Raw genomic sequence first — 16,376 nt, 5'->3', positions numbered from 1 at the left:
AAGGCTCAACTGGAATCTAATGGAGATTACTGTCATTACTTCACTTCAATGGCTTACTGTATGACCATAGTTTTACCTATCCCTGTGTCTTATTTATCCTTTTTAATTGACCATGTGTCCATTCTCTGTTGAGGAATTACCACCTTTCCCATTGAATACAATCTGGTAGACAATAGTTAGGTACCTTGCTCTCCCTCAATTAAAGCATAAGAATGTAAGCCAAGTGTGGTGGCTCACACCTGTAATCCCAGCACTTTGGGAAGTCCAGGTGGGAAGATCATTTGAGACCAGGAGTTTCAGACCAGCCTGAGCAACATAGCGAGATCCTGTCTCTACGAAAATTGAAAAAATTAGCTAGGTGTGGTAGCTTACACCTGTAGTGCCAGCTGCTCAGGAGGCTAAGGCAGGAGGATTCCTTGAGTCCAGGAGTTCGAGGCTGCATGAGTTGTGATAGTGCCACTGCACCCCAGCCTGGGTGACAGGGTAAGACCCTGTCCCTTAAAAAATGAGGGGAGCAAAAAATGTGACTCAAGTTAGCTAGAAAATGCTTTCTTTCTGAAATTTGAACTTGAGTAGAAGAACAAAGAAGGATCCAGTTTCCTAATCAGATGGTTCTTAGCACAAGTAACTGCGTCCTAGTCCCTGAAGGTTTGCTACCCTTCCAGTCATTCTATGTTCTTATAATAAATTTATTTTTTCTTAAGTTAGCTGTAGTTGGTTTCTTATGCTTTAAAGCAAATAACCTTTAAAACCAGAGAATTTAAGCATTTTAGTATTTTATTGTAACAGGATAATTTGCCGGTCTAGGAGTAGATAAAATGTGTCTCTACCCCTAAACTAATATTTTTATACAAATGAAATCAGAATAAATATACCAGATAACCTTGAAGAGGAAAAAGAATTCCTGAGCCAGGCGCAGTGGTACACACCTGTGGTTCCCGCTACTCGGGAGGCTGAAGTAGGAGGATCGCTTGAGCCCAGGAGTTTCAGGCTGGCACTATGATTGTGCCTGTGAACAGCCACTGTGCTCAAGCCTGGGCAACACAGCAAGACCCCTGTCTCTAAAAAAAAAAATCACAAAAATACAACCTTACTGAGGGGTTGAGGAGTATGGTTGGGGAGGGTGAAAAATGAAAGAATAATCCAGGCTGTTAGTTTTCCTTACACTGTAGACTGTATGAGCTAATGACAGAAATGAGCCCCAGTTTACCCAGTTACAAAGATGACACATTATTCTTCCTTGTCCATTGCTTGTAGTCACTTAGTTATTTGGATTATCCTTTAGCAATCTAGTTTTCTGCCTTCTTTATTGAATTTTATTTTAAAAGTCTAGTCAGGAATGGATCTGATAACTGAGAAGCTTTGGGAGGCACTTATGGCAAAGATGTAAGTGTGCTCTATGAATCAGCAGCTACCTTGCTCTCTAAGAATTATGACCAAAATATAAAAAATTCAACCACACTGTTCCTTTTTCTACTTGATCAACACAATGGACCTGGAGAAGCAGAGGAACTAGGTAAATATAAATATCTTCAAGACCCACCAGTTCTATTTAAGATATCCAGAGACAACTTTCCTGACTCAATCTTCCCACTACTGCAGCCTAAAATCACAGAGCTATATTCTCTTTTTCAGCATCCTGGAATGTAGGCCACATCACCACATTCTCATTGGTTCAGAACAGTGTAAATACCAATTATCTCACCTGTATAAAAGGCATAACAATATCTACCTCAGGGTAATGATAACAATTACATTGGATGATATATGTCAAGTGCTTAGCTATATCATTAGCCCCATGGTAAGTCAGCTTGGGTGGGAGAAGAGTTCAAGACAAATAAGAAATGCTTTCTTCACTACTATGTTGCTATTAAGAGAGGATTTCTGAACTTCAGCAAGACAGGTATTAGAGGATTAGGCATTTACAGATTTCTTCCCATTAGAAATAAACATATTTGAAGATTTATAATTGGAGAATGTTTAACAAAAGTATCTTTCTTTCTCTGAATTTTTTCCACTTTTCTTTCTCTGCAAACCTTGAGAAATTTGCAGAAAAAGAAAAGTGGAAAGAATTTTTAGAAGCAAATTATATTTTACTCTGCCTCACCACCTGTTCCTGAATCTCACTTTTCACCTTGTATATCTGCCACATTCAGGGCTCCTTAACTTGGCTGCTTTTTGCCAGCACTAGGAGGCTATAAGGAATCGGGAGGAAGTTCATCAACAACAACAAAAATAGTTACTTACAGGTTTTTCCAGTTCAATAGTGTAGTTTTGTCCTACGCTCATCACTTTGTAGTGCTTGATTCTTGGAATGCTACAATGAAACAAATGGTTAGTCTCCATTTTATTATACAATTGGGTAAATGCAAACTAAAGTAAATATAAAATATCACCTGTATAATCAACCTATGTTGTCATGACTATAGTTTGGCAAAAAAAAAAAAAAAAAAAATCCTTCGTGGTTTTTTATTTTCTGTTTACCTGGTTTGCAGAGTGTCTTTTTGTGGGGGCTACTCACTAGGGATATAGGTAATCTGGGTCATTGAGTGGGTGAATTAGAAAGAATAAACAGGAAAAAAGGAATCAAGAATTAAAAATCTTTCAGGCAGAAATAATTCTTTTAATGTCAGTAACCTAGAAAGTAAACAACATAATAAAATTCTATGTAGGTATATAAAATCAAATATATATTCTCCATATTGAGAGAAGTAGAAAGAATTATTAAAAGTACATTGCTTTCTACCCTACATTGTCACCAATCCAACCAGAAACCCCTCAATAGCTGTTATTCATATTAGCTCATATACCACCCTGGATATCCACTAACTTTGGGGCTGACTTGGAGATATGGAAAATACTGGGTCTTAGGCACTATATGAACATATAGATGATAATGTAAGTACATTACATGAATCGTATTGTCTTCCTCTTCTATAGTCACATAGCACTCAAAATTATTACCACTCAAATACAGGGTATTTTATTGATTATGAACTGCTTATGAACAAGAGGCATATCCTATTCATCACTGTATTCTAGCATTAGGCACAGAATAAATATTTATAAAGTTGAGTTTTTAAAATATTAGGAGCTGGATGAGTGGGATGGCTCAGGCCTGTAATCCCAGAACTTTTGAGAGGCCAAGGCATGAGGATGACTTGAGCCCAGGAGTTAGAGACCAGACTGGGCAACATAATGAGACCCCATCTCTACAAAAAAATTCAAAAAATTAGCCAGGCATGGTGGCATGCATATGTGGTCCCAGCTACTCAGGTGTTAGGTGGGCGAATCATTGCATCCAGGAGATTGAGGCTGCAGTGAGCTATGATGGTGCCGCTGCATTCTAGCCTGGGCAACAGAATGAGACCCTGTCTCAAAAAAAAAAAAATTAGGATCCCCCACCTCATAATGTTATCTGCTAGAACTAAGCAAATTTACACTGAGATCAGAAGTCACTATCCTTGTCAGTTAGTTTTGAACCAGAGTATGTTTGTCTTGAATTCCCTTGATTTGTACGGCAAGCATGTTAGGATGAAAACTTTTTCTAGTGTTGACAAATGAACAGCATTTATTACATTGTCATTTGCTTGAATGACACACTAATTAAGCATTTGTCCTATGTACAGAAGCTGTCTAAAACAAAAGTGTTCAGCAGGTTAAGCTAGGCACAGGGTCTTTCTACCTTCTTTTTTTAAATCGCTTCTCCTTCCGTTTTCATTTAGGACTGAAACTGAAGTCTTCTATTCAGGGGACTCTTCTCATTCACCATTATATCCAAATCACCTCTCAATTGGACATCACAATGGAAACAGCTCATAAATTCCAATAACCTACTTTCAAAACATGGGATAAAACCCAACCAACCCTTTTCCTTCCTAAAAGAAAACATTCCTTAACGCTGAAACTTCAGGAATCAGTTACAAGTTGGTGAAGGAAGCATTTTTGGACACAGAAGGTCATACAGCACCTTTTCAGGGTGGTTATACCTGGCTTTATCTTTATCACATCATAATAAGATCTTTGTAATCACACAGTTACTTTTGAAAACTCTACAATTTCAATTACAATTCCTGTATTCCTATTAAATAAGGGATTGCTGTTCGTTGGAAGACTGATAGAAAACTTGGTTCAAATTCTGATTGTCATGTGGGTTCTCTGAACCTCCATTTTCTTCATCTATAAATGGAGATGGTGCCTTGCCTCAAGGGGCTGCTGTGAGTTAACCTTTGCAAAGCCCTTAGTACAGTGTCTGGCACATTTAAGCATTCAGTAAATTATAACCATTTTTACTACTTCTTAAATGTATTGTTTTAATGTAGTAGTTTCTGTGAGTCTCATCCTCTTCATTTGTAAAACATGGAAAATACTGTCTGTCTCAAAGTTTTTATTGCGCCTGAAGGAAATGTTTGCCAGTACTCAACATAGCACCCACAAATGGTAACCTATAAGGAGAACAACGATTGTTGTTGTTTTTAAAAGCCATCATATTGGCCGGGCGCAGTGGTTCACGCCTGTAATCCCAGCACTTTGGGAGGCTGAGGCAGGCAGATCACGAGGTCAGGAGATCGAGACCATCCTGGCTAACACGGTGAAACCCCGTCTCTCCTAAAAATACAAAAAATTAGCCGGGCGTGGTGGTGGGCACCTGTAGTCCCAGCTACTCGGGAGGCTGAGGCAGGAGAATGGCGTGAACCCGGGAGGCGGAGATGGCAGTGAGCCGAGCTCGCACCACTGTACTCCAGCCTGTGAGACAGAGCGAGGCCCCGTCTCAAAAAAAACAAAAACAAAAAACAACAACAACAACAAAAAAAAGACATCATATCATCATCATCATCATCATCATCGTCGTCGTCGTCTATGGCAAAGCTGTGGGAGGAAAAGTGGCAAAGGTCAACAAGGTATCTTGGAACTTTTGACTAACAGAATGAAATTCTGGAACAGAAAGAGGTGGGAAAAAAAATCCATTGAAGTTGCTTAGGTTTTGACTCTCTTTTTAGACATTTTGCTTTCCTTTCATATTCTGTTTTGTTCTGCTTTTCCAAAGAAATAAAAAGAGATGAAAAAAACAAGATTGATAGAATTTGCTATATTAAGATTTCCTGATGCTGACCTCAAAACAGAAGAAGCAAGTCTTTTTTTTTTTTTTTTTTTTTTTTTTAAGAAAATGTGTCCCCAGCCGGGTGCGGTGGCTCACACCTGTAATCCCAGCACTTTGGGAGGCCGAGATGGGCGGATCATCTGAGGTCAGGAGTTCGAGACCAGCCTGACCAACATGGAGAAACCCCGTCTGTACTAAAACTACAAAAAAAATTAGCCAGGCGTGGTGGCACATGCTTGTAATCCCAGCTACTCGGGAGGCTGAGGCAGGAGAATTGCTTGAACCTGGGAGGTGGAAGTTGTGGTGAGCTGAGATCGCGCCATTGAACTCCAGACTGGGCAACAAGAGCAAAACTCCATCTCAAAAAAAAAAAAAAAAAAGAAAGAAAGAAAAGGTGTCCCCTTAAATGTGGTTATAAATACTTGTTCTTAGCTTCTGACTTCCATTTTTGCAAAGAAATAAAGTTTGGGTAAATATTTCCTACTGCTTCCTTAGCTAATGGCTTTCCAAAGTTTCCATACTGCTAGCTTGGTACCTAGTCATAACATTTTCAAGAAAACCAAACCAAGCCATGAAGTTCTGTTGTAAGAACAGCTTTATGTCTTATGAATTCACGCACCATTGGGCTAGGTAAAGGTGGATGATAGTCTACATTGAGACAAGAGTCATCTGGTAATTTGGCATTGAATGGCTTTTGTTTATTCCTGAGAACAAGTATTCCCTCCCACAGCTGCTCTGTGAACAGATGGAGATAATTTTATTTTCATATACTGCTTTGTAAACTAACTTGTACTTTTCAGCTAATGTTTTACCAGACACACTCATCTAACTTGCATGACTGAACATTTCTCCCATAACCTATAAGAGAATGAATTGGTTTTGTGGGTAATACAACTGCTTCCCAATAGCCGAGGTTTCTACCAAATTCTTTACATTAAGTCGTACAGTATAACAAGCTAAAATTCTAATACTCTGTACAACTGTTATCCTTTAAGTGACCTGTTACATGGAAGATATTAAATTCAGGTACTCTGAAACACCTGTTTTGAGGCATTAGAGAATACATTTAACAAACTTTGACATCATAGATGGATTTGGCATGTAAGGAAAATTTGTGCAATACAGTTGAATTTTTCGTATCCACTTCCAGGTATGAACTATTTCTCAAAGCCTAAATAAGTGCATACTGACTCTAGTGTTAGAATTCTTTAGTTTAACCAATATACTTCTTGCTTTCCAAATATGAACTTTTGCAGGGGGAGAATGATTAGTTTTATAAAATGTTGTAAGTTTTGATGACCATCAGCTAACAAAAGCATGAATTTCTATATGAATTCAAACCAAAAGTGAACTTATTAAATTTAGAATTATGCAACTTTGATATGAACTCCTTTTCCATACTCTCATGAGCTTAATATATAACTTAAATACAATACAATTGTGAGTAAAAACTGTGACACTAAGTACAGAAATTCATTGTGTTTAGTCACACACCACATCTGCAACAGAAAACAGTTATTTCTCATAGTTAATTGTATAGAAAATGTAATGAAAGAGTTGGACTAATCTAGACCACCTTAAAAGGGATCAGGCTGCTATTGTGCAAGAAATATGCAGTTTTTTTGTTTGTTTGTTTTGTTTTTGAGATGGAGTCTTGCTTTCTTGCCCATGCTGGAGTGCAGTGGTGCAATATCAGCTCACTGCAACCTCCGCCTCCCAGGTTGAAGCGATTCTCCTACCTCAGCCTCCTGAGTAGCTGGGATTACAGGTGCGTGCCACCACACCCAGCTAATTTCTGTATTTTTAGTAGAGATAGGGTTTCACCATGTTGGTCAGGCTGGTCTCAAACTCCTGACCTCATGATCCACCTGCTTCAGCCTCCCAAAGTGCTGGGATTACAGGTGTGAGCCACCGTGCCTGGCCGAAATATGCAGTCTTTATGGAGCTGTCAGGTCTTGAGAGTTTGTTCATTTCATGCAGAATAGTAAGACAGGGGTCACGTGTAAATGTATCAACCACTCAATCTGACCAAGAAAGGAATGACATTAAGGAAAAAAAAATCACGCTCTTTGGTGTTCTAATTTTACATTTAAGCAGTTAGATTATGTTTCTATTAAAAATCTGCTCTCTCTTAATTTTTAATTCAGTGTTACATCCTCTCATCTTTAAAAGTGGAAGTAAACGGTTAAGGATATGCTGTAGTTTATGTCATACACAATTTCGTAAATCCTGAAAAAGGACAAACTTCTTGACCAGGATATAGTAAAGAGAAAAATCCACTTTTCTCCTACAAATTATTCTAAGTTCACTGATGTTTAATGGCAGTCATAACAATAAGAAAAATGATTTCTTTTGGATTTGTATCAAGACAGTCAATTAAATTATACATCAAATTAGGTTGTAATTGAAAAATCTATTATTTTCTACTGTATTTCAATAGAATTGAAAATCCATTAACTTCAATCGTTAGTTTATAATAAACAAAAAATAATGAAACCACAAGTTTAAGTTGACAGACATTCATTGTAGAAATATACACACAGAGATATATACACACACACATTTCCTTACACAAAGAACCATGACCTGATTTACCATCTAACATTCTTGCCATCTGTTCAGTGCCCATGACTAGTGTATAAGACAAGGATCTGTTTACTGGCAAGTGAATAAAGCTTATTGGGCTGTGGCACACACTAGCAATGTAGCCATAATGCCATGTTTTAAATTTGTCTCTGGAAGTTGTTTCTTTTTAACTGCCTTTATTCACCATACATATCTTCATATTTAGAATTATAGATATTTATGGGGTGGATTAGTAGATAGATTTATTGATAGATATGTTATAGTATAAAATTTAATAAAATAATATTATCCCCATAAGGAATAGCAAATTCAAATGTCAAAGTTCTGTTTATGCATATATATTAAAGAAAGTCATTTACTGAACATTTTTATGTAGGACATAACCTTGATATTTAAATTATATTATCAGTTGTGGAAGTATTAACTAAGCCAGAGTCTCCAATGAAGTGCAAGTTCTCATAGACTTTGAAAGCTGGAGTCTATTAAAAGATCTAACTACCCCAACTACACAGAAAAATAACGTTTGCATTTAAGTGTTACTGACTTTATCAAAGTTAGACCATTTTACCAGAAAGAAATTAGTAACCTTGACAAAGAGGCTCCTAAGTGGCCCTTTTTTATAAATAAGTCAGATTATGACAACAGTTCAGTGGCCTCTCATGTCATTCAAAGTAAAACCCTTGTCCCTACAATGATCTGTAGGGCTCTGAGTGATGTGTCCCTACCCTGACTCTGGAATCTCCTCTCCTACCACTTTTCTCTTTGCTCTTTTCATTGCAGTCACAGCAGCCTTTTTCTTTTCTTGAACAAGTCAAGCATTCTTCTATCTCAAGGCATACACATTTGCTGCCTGGAGCACTTTTGCCCCAGATATTGGTAGGGTTTATTTTCTCACTTCCTTCAGCTCTCTGCTTAAATCAGTCAATAAAGTAGGTCTTCCTTGACCACTCTATATTAAAACAATAGCAACCATAAAAATGTGCTCCCTTTGTCACCTCTGAGGGTTCCCATCTCTCTCTTCCTGCTTTATTTTACTCTATAGACCTTATGGCCACATATATTTTTAGTTATGTGTTTAAGTCTATGTCTCCCTACAAGAATGTAAACTCATTGAAGATTGAAGCCAGGGATGTTTTTCTTTTTATACTTTTATTGCTAATCAACTCAAACCAAAACAGAGATGTTTGTTTTTTTCACTGCGTATTCTCAGTGCCTAGAGTATTGCTTGGCATATAGCAGCTGCTCAATAAATATTTGTTGAATTGAATGAATGAACAATGCAACTATATCCAGGACCAAAATAATGTGTTATTCTTTCTTCTTCCCTGCTGCAAATGTTAGCATTGGCTCAGTCTTTAGCATTGCTTTTATGACATTCCCTCCCTATTCTTGTGTTCTTTTTTTTTTTTTTTTTTCGAGACCGAGTCTCACTCTGTCACCCAGGCTGGAGTGCAGTGGTGTGATCTCGGCTCACTGCAACCTCTGCCTCCTGGGTTCAAGCAATTCCCCCGCCTCAGCCTCCCGAGTAGCTGGGACTACAGGCACGTGCCACCACGCCTGGCTAATTTTTTGTATTTTTAGTAAAGACGGGGTTTCACCGTGTTAGCCAGGGTAGTCTCGATATCCTGACCTTGTGATCCGTCTGCCTCAGCCTCCCGAAGTGTTGAGATTACAGGCGTGAGCCACCGCACCCGGCCACTTGTGTTCATATTTTCAGCCCCAACGAAACACATAGCAGGTGCTGATCTGGACTTGTATTTAGTGATACCACGCTTTTAAAAATTCCATACATTTAAAAAAAATAAACATACTCTATCTCCTGCCGAATAGTGATGGAGTAGTTTCTACTGTCACTACCAGGCCTCAGGATCATATTTCCCAAAGAAGGGTTCTTCTGGAGCATCTCAGTTGCCTCTTTCCGGGACACTGTATAAAAACATCTACAGAGGTGAGATAAAAAAACAGAATTGTTTTTTTAACTGATGAAGATCATTACTTGAAAAAAATACTACCAAAATAACTTTGAGAGCTGCAGTTGCTAACTTTTCTTAAAACTTCCGGTTTGATTATTCCAATTATGTAATTACAATGCTCTATTATTACAAGCCTGTGCCACTCTGTGTATGCTAACGTTAAGGTCTTCCTTCCTTAATTCTTCCAAAGCCTTTTTATACAAAGAGAACCTGAAAAGTTATCTACTGATCAGTATATAATCATCATTACCAACAAGAATTAACAATGTATCCCCAGTCTCAGTTGATAAGTAGGTTCTCGGATAAATATTTATTGGGGGTCTCCTTTCGGGGATACAAAACATCTGTAAATGTTTCTCTTGTATGGTCTATGTCTTAAACAACTGATATTTAAATATGTTTGCACTCATTTATTTTGGTGTAATATGTCTTTCTATGGCATTGTTGTTATTTTTATGTGCAAAATAAAAAATAAAGCACTTCTCATTTTTATAATATACAGATGCTCCTTGAATTATGATGGGATTATATCCCGATAAACCCACTGTAAGTTGAAAATATCGTAAGCTGAAAATGCATTTAATATGCATAACTTACTGAACATCATAGCTTAGCCTAGCCTACCTTAAAAATGCTTAGAACACTTACATTAGCCTATTGATGAGCAAAATCATCTAACACAAAGTTTATTTATAATAAAATGTTGAATGTCTCATGCAATGCATTGAATACTGAAAGTGAAAAACAGAATGGTTGTATGGGTACTCGAAAAGTAGAGTTTATACTGAATGCATATTGCATTTGCATCATCTTAAAGTCAAAAAGTCATTTAACCATTGTTCAACTTATACAGACCACCTGTAAATCGTAGTCAAGAAAATATATAGTCATATTCATAGAAAAAAAAAAACTAATAGAAAAAATCTGGTAGAAGCCTGGGCATGGTGGCTCACACCTGTAATCCCAGGACTTTGGTAGGCCAAGGCGGGTGGATCACTCGAGCTCAAGAGTTCAAGACCAGCCTGGGCAACATGGCAAAACCCTGTCTCTACAAAAATACAAAAATTAGCTGGGCACGGTGGCAGGTGCCTGTGGTCCCAGCTACTCGGCAGGTCAAGGCATGGGAATCGTTTGAGACCCAGAGGTGGAGATTGCAGTGAGCTGAGATCGTGCTGCACTCTAGCCTGGCTAACAGAGTGAGACACTGTCTCAAAAAAAACAAAAAAAACAAAAAAAAAACTAAAATGTTAATAGCAAATATCTCTGAGCGGTGGAACAAGGAATGATTTTAATCTTTTATATATAATAAACATATATTACTTGTTTTATTGAGAAAAAAGAAAAATTAGCAGTCCATGTGACTTTTAACTTATCAGTCCATCAGTTGCTGGTGGTTTCAGGTAAAAATGATGGTTGGCGGGTTTCAGTGATTGTAGTACAGATAGAGTATGCAACAGAACCTGATGTCAAACAGGGTACCAGGACAAGTTTTATTGACAACACCACCAAGATTCCAGGAGGAAAGAGCTCAGAATCTTTTCAATAATATAAAAAATAAATGTAGGATGTTGGTGAATTTAGCATTTTCTGCACTTCTTTATTTTTCCAACACCTTAAACATTTTACACAAGGCCTTTGTCAAAGTACAAGCTTGATGACTACTGACTAATTGGTCAGTTGAATAGAACATTCTAGGTATTGAAAATTTATTGGTATAATTTTCTGAGAGAAAATCAGTCAATCATAGAGTTTGCATAGTGAAAAAATATCTTTTCCTGCCTTCTTCATGGGAGTTTTTATTTAGGCGTGAGCTCTGGAAAGAGTATCTATTTGTTCTAAAGATGTGGGTGGAAGGGGATTTCCTGTGTGGTAAGATGGTTGGTTCAAATCTGCATTTTGTTGATCATGACATAGAAGAGGAAATATGGCATGTACGCAGAGATATACAGTTTATCCCCAAGACTGCTTATTGTCCCTGGCTTAACAAGAGCAAGTGACTAACTCTCCTTTATAATTAGAAATTAGTTTTAACAATCGAATGAATAAACTGCAGTTCATTGTGCACTTACGCTGGCATAGGGTTCAGTACATCCACATAATCTTCAGTTGGTTCCTTCTCTTTTTCCACGGACGTACTCTGCTCTGTCTCAATCCTCCTTTTCTTTTCTCTCTCTAGGACTTCATGCAGTTTAATTACTTGCCCAGGTAGGAGTGACACGTTTTGGGGAACTGACAGCTGAAACCAATTAAAAGAGTAGGCAGGCAAGAAAACAGCTTAATAACTTATAACTTTAGTAAAGACGACCCTGTTCTGGTCCTATAGGGCTACAGTTACCTGACAGAGGTGAATGAGTAGGGACTAAGGGAATAAGAAACAGAGGATTTTAGTCTAGGTTGGGTGTTTCAGAACCGCCTCTGCACCAACTACAACCTGCACAGAGTGCCTACCCTTCTGCCAAGGAATCATCCTTTTGGTTTGGCCCCAAAGCAAAGAACACCCCGCCTTGCACTAAAAGCTAATTCAAGTAACAACAAACCTCATATTTTTCATTCTGAGCTCACTAGTTCATCAATGCCAGGGATTTTCCAGAACACCTTCAAGGTACCTCACTCTCTCATAAGTTATCTGAAAAGATTTCCCCCAGCCATATGGCAACATGGGATTCAGATGGAACTGTTCATTAGGTGACTGAAGAGCAGCAGTCAGAGGTCGAAATTTTGCGTCTGTGGTGTGTTTCAAACATTCATTCACATGTTAGAATTATGATACTTTTCTACTTATTAGTTGGTTTTGTGGTGGTTGTTACCTTTCCTAGAGATGTATTTCAGATTGACTCACCTATATATGTCCTTCTGATTTATATTCATACCTGCAATTTTGACCTCATTATGACCAGCTCTGTGCTCTTAGAAGGTATAGTGTGAATGGTAAGATATTTTTTGTACGTGACCCTAGCAAGTCTTTATTTGGAGGCAGCCTTGTGTGATTATCACCTTTATCTTCAGAGAAGAGTGCATGCTTTCCAGGAGGTATACAAGAAAGTCCATTAGAGTATGGGAAGAAAACATTATAACTTCACTTTCTATTAAGTTACTATTTCACTAATTTCTATTATTATATATGTTTTAATATGCGTACAAGTACATATAAAATTTACACAAACATTTACTAATACAGATACACAATAAAAAAGGCTTAGAGACATTTTAGATAACTAAGATAATAACCAGTAAAACAATTTCCATATATACCAGAAAAAAATGAAATAATGGGGGAAAATACCTAATGAAACACATATCTTTATTAATTGACTATTATAGCTCAAGCATTGTACATGTTTTATTGCAACTCCTCACAGAAATGCTAGAAAGTATTGTTATACGGGAGGGCGCAGTGGCTCATGCCTGTAATCCCAGCACTTTGGGAGGCCAAGGTGGGTGGATCACTTGAGGTCAAGAGTTCAAGATCAGCCTGGCTAACATTATGAAACCCGTTTCTAATAAAAATACAAAAATTTTGGGTGGCATGTGCCTGTAATCCCAGATACTTGGGAGGCTGAGGCAGGACGATTGCTTAAACCTGGGAGGCGGAATTTGCAGTGAGCCGGGATCAAGCCACTGCACTCCAGCCTGGGTGACAGAGCAAGACTCCATCTCAAAAAAAAAATGGTATTGTTATCCCCAATTTACAAATGGTGACATAGTTTGGATATGTGTTCCCACCAAAGCTCATGTTAAATTAGCCCCAGTGTTGGAGGTGGGGCCTGGTGGGAGGTGTTTGGGTCATGGGGATGAATCTCTCATGGCTTGGTGCTTTTCTCATGTTAGTGGGTGAATTCTTGTGAGATCTAGTCATTTAAAAGTGTGTGGTCCCTCTTCCCCACTCTTTCTCTTTCCTACTCTCACCATGTGATATGTCTGTTCCCCCTTCACCTTCTGCCATGAGTAAAAGCTCCTTGAGGCCCTTCCCAGAAGCTGAGCAGATGCTGGCACCATGCTTCCTGTACAGCCTGCAGAACCAGGAGCCAATTAAACCTCTTTTCTTTACAAATTACCCAGTCTTAGGTATTTCTTTATAGCAATGCAAGAATGGCCTAATACAAATAGAAAAAAAAATCAAGCACAGAAAGATTAAATAGCTAGTCCAGAGTCAAATAGCTAGTAAGTTATGGAACCAGGACCCAAACTGGGGTTTATTTGATTCAAAAGCAATGTCTCAGCTCTTTCAACTACATACAGTCTGAGCTTCTCTCACTTCTCTACTAAAGTCATCCTAATAACAACATACTGTAAATGTTCATATACCATGATCTGGAATCATAACACAAAACAACATTTACAGAATACACAATTTGAGGCAACTTGTCTTCTCTTAAAAATTCACATGGGCTGGGCGTGGTGGCTCACACCTGTAATCCCAGCACTTTGGGAGGCCGAGGTGGGAGGATCACTTGAGGTGGGAGGATCACTTGAGGTCAGGAGTTTGAGACCAGCATGGCCAACATGGTGAAACCCCACCTCTACTAAAAATATTTTTTAAAAAACTTAGCCGGGCATGATGGTACGTGCCTTTAATCCCAGCTACTTGGGAGGCTAAGGCAGGAGAATTGCTTGAACGCAGGAGGTGGAGGTTGCAGTGAGCCAAGATTGCACCACTGCACTCCAGCCTGGGTGATAGAGTGAGACTCTGTCTCAAAAAAAAAAAAAAAATTCACATAAATTTGATTTTATATTCTGTTACTTATTTATGTGTGTATTTTAATATAAAAATAATGCTTTTTATTTTTACTCCAGGAAAGAAACTAAAAACAAAATGTTTGGCCAAAACTTTATACATACTTAGTGTACCGGGGGGATGCAAAAAGTTTTTGCCAGAGTTTTTAGTGTACTCCTTGATACTTAGTCACATACCTTTGGGATAGTTATACCCGGTATTGGAAGCACCATACCACTCAGAGATATTTTCCACAACAGAGGGAAAGAGTGCAATTCCCCAGGATTCCTTCCTCTCCCTCTCAGAAGTCAACATGTTCTTCACATCTTTAACTGGTCCGCTTTTCTAGCCTCATATAACTTCCCTACACAATAGTTGAACCTCTAACTTTTACCTGTTACTGGCTGAAATAAAGAACCTGCATCCATCAACTTGGTAAAGTGCAGTGCTTATTTCAGATGACTGCAATGGCTTACTTAGAAACTAGCTTTGGATAGAATCTGTGTTTAACTGACTCTAATAAACACAGTTTTTATATCCTTTTAAATTACTAGAGAACATGGTGCTCCTTGGGAGGCTGGTTATCAAAGAACGTCATGTTTCCAAGGCAATTGCTACAGTGGCTTTATCTAAAATAATGGACATTATCTTACTGCAAGAGTTAACTCTAAGCAGTAGATCTTACTATTTGCCTCTGATAAAACACCACAGAGTTGAACAGATAAGCATCCTGTTGTTTTAAGACTCACTGAAGAAATGTTTAAAGGTGAGTTTTCATTTTTATGGTCTCTCCCTGTTACATTGTCTATGTTATTTATAAAATTCATCTTGGCTAGTATTCTATAAATATGTATTAAATAAATAAAAAAGAAATCAGAGGCCGGGCACAGTGGCTCACACCTGTAATCCCAGCACTTTCGGAGGCCGAGGCCGGCAGATCACTTGAGGCCAGGAGTTCCAAACCAGCCTGGCCAACATGATGAAACCTCATCTCTACTAAAAATACAGAAATTAGCTGGGCATGATGGTGCATGCCTGTAATCCCAGCTACTTGAGAGGCTGAAGCAGGAGAATCACTTGAACTCTGGAGGTGGAGGTTGCAGTGAGCCAAATTATGCCACTGCACTCCAGCCTGGGTGACATAGTGAGACCTCATCTCAAAAAAAAAAAAAAAAGAAAGAAAGAAAGAAAAGAAAAGAAATTGGAATGTATTTTCAAACATGCTGTATTAGCTACAAATATCAGAATATACAAAGGACCACTGAGTCAAACAGATAAGACCAAAAAGTAGATCTCCTTTACCACCCGTTACTCCCTAGCGAATTGCCTTGTTTATTTTCTTCATAACAATTGTCACAATGTGAAATGATCATCTGTTTACTTGTTTACTTTCTCCCTCTCCACCACCTGATGAAAATATAATGTTCATAAGTAAGTGCAAGAGTTTAGGTCTATCTTTTTCAATTGCTATATCTTCAGCCACTTTCACTCTGCATGGATCATAGGGTGTTCAGCAGATATTTGTTGAAAAAAAAAAAGAATCAATCAAAAGCAGTGAGCTTCCTACCTCTGTTACTGTAAGAATGAAGCCTCTCCATTCTTCCCCACTTTCTGTGTTCTCTGTCTAAAGTTGAAGACAAAAACAGATAAAGCCAAAGAAGGAAATACATGAGTGATTGAGCATAAAATAAATAATTATGACTGAGCCTAAAAAATAATTCATTTTCTTTTTTTGGCTTAGAACTACTAATGTGTATTTTTTATGAAATATTTCAATACTATTTTCTTTTGTCAGAAGACATACAGCTGTAATCTGTTTGCTTACTTAAAACAAATGAACATGTACAAATTTACTCAAAAAAATTAAATGTTAGAAAACTTACTTTTGCAGTATGTCAATTCACAGTTACTCTCTCCATTAGCAGTTAAAATGGACTGGCTTTAAATTCAGGACAACCAAATTTGATAGTAGAAACTTCCAATTCTTAGCTGTAAATACTAG

General features: G+C 37.9%; 1 protein-coding gene across 2 annotated transcripts in view; it reads right to left on the bottom strand.

Moving 5' to 3' along the window:
• Positions 1 to 16,376, bottom strand: part of STAP1 (signal transducing adaptor family member 1) — a 48,611-nt gene that overhangs the window by 14,137 nt on the left and 18,098 nt on the right. For both annotated transcript variants that reach the window (NM_012108.4, NM_001317769.2), the window contains exons 4-7: positions 15,942 to 15,998; positions 11,730 to 11,896; positions 9,499 to 9,627; positions 2,248 to 2,317 (exon numbers count right to left, since the gene is read on the bottom strand). In NM_012108.4, the coding sequence (NP_036240.1) occupies positions 2,248 to 2,317; positions 9,499 to 9,627; positions 11,730 to 11,896; positions 15,942 to 15,998 (423 nt within the window). The remainder of the gene's footprint in view (positions 1 to 2,247; positions 2,318 to 9,498; positions 9,628 to 11,729; positions 11,897 to 15,941; positions 15,999 to 16,376) is intronic.

The sequence above is a fragment of the Homo sapiens genome, chromosome 4 (genome assembly GCF_000001405.40).
Source record: "Homo sapiens chromosome 4, GRCh38.p14 Primary Assembly".
Lineage (NCBI taxonomy): Eukaryota > Metazoa > Chordata > Mammalia > Primates > Hominidae > Homo > Homo sapiens.
This window is presented reverse-complemented; position numbering and strand designations above follow the sequence as displayed.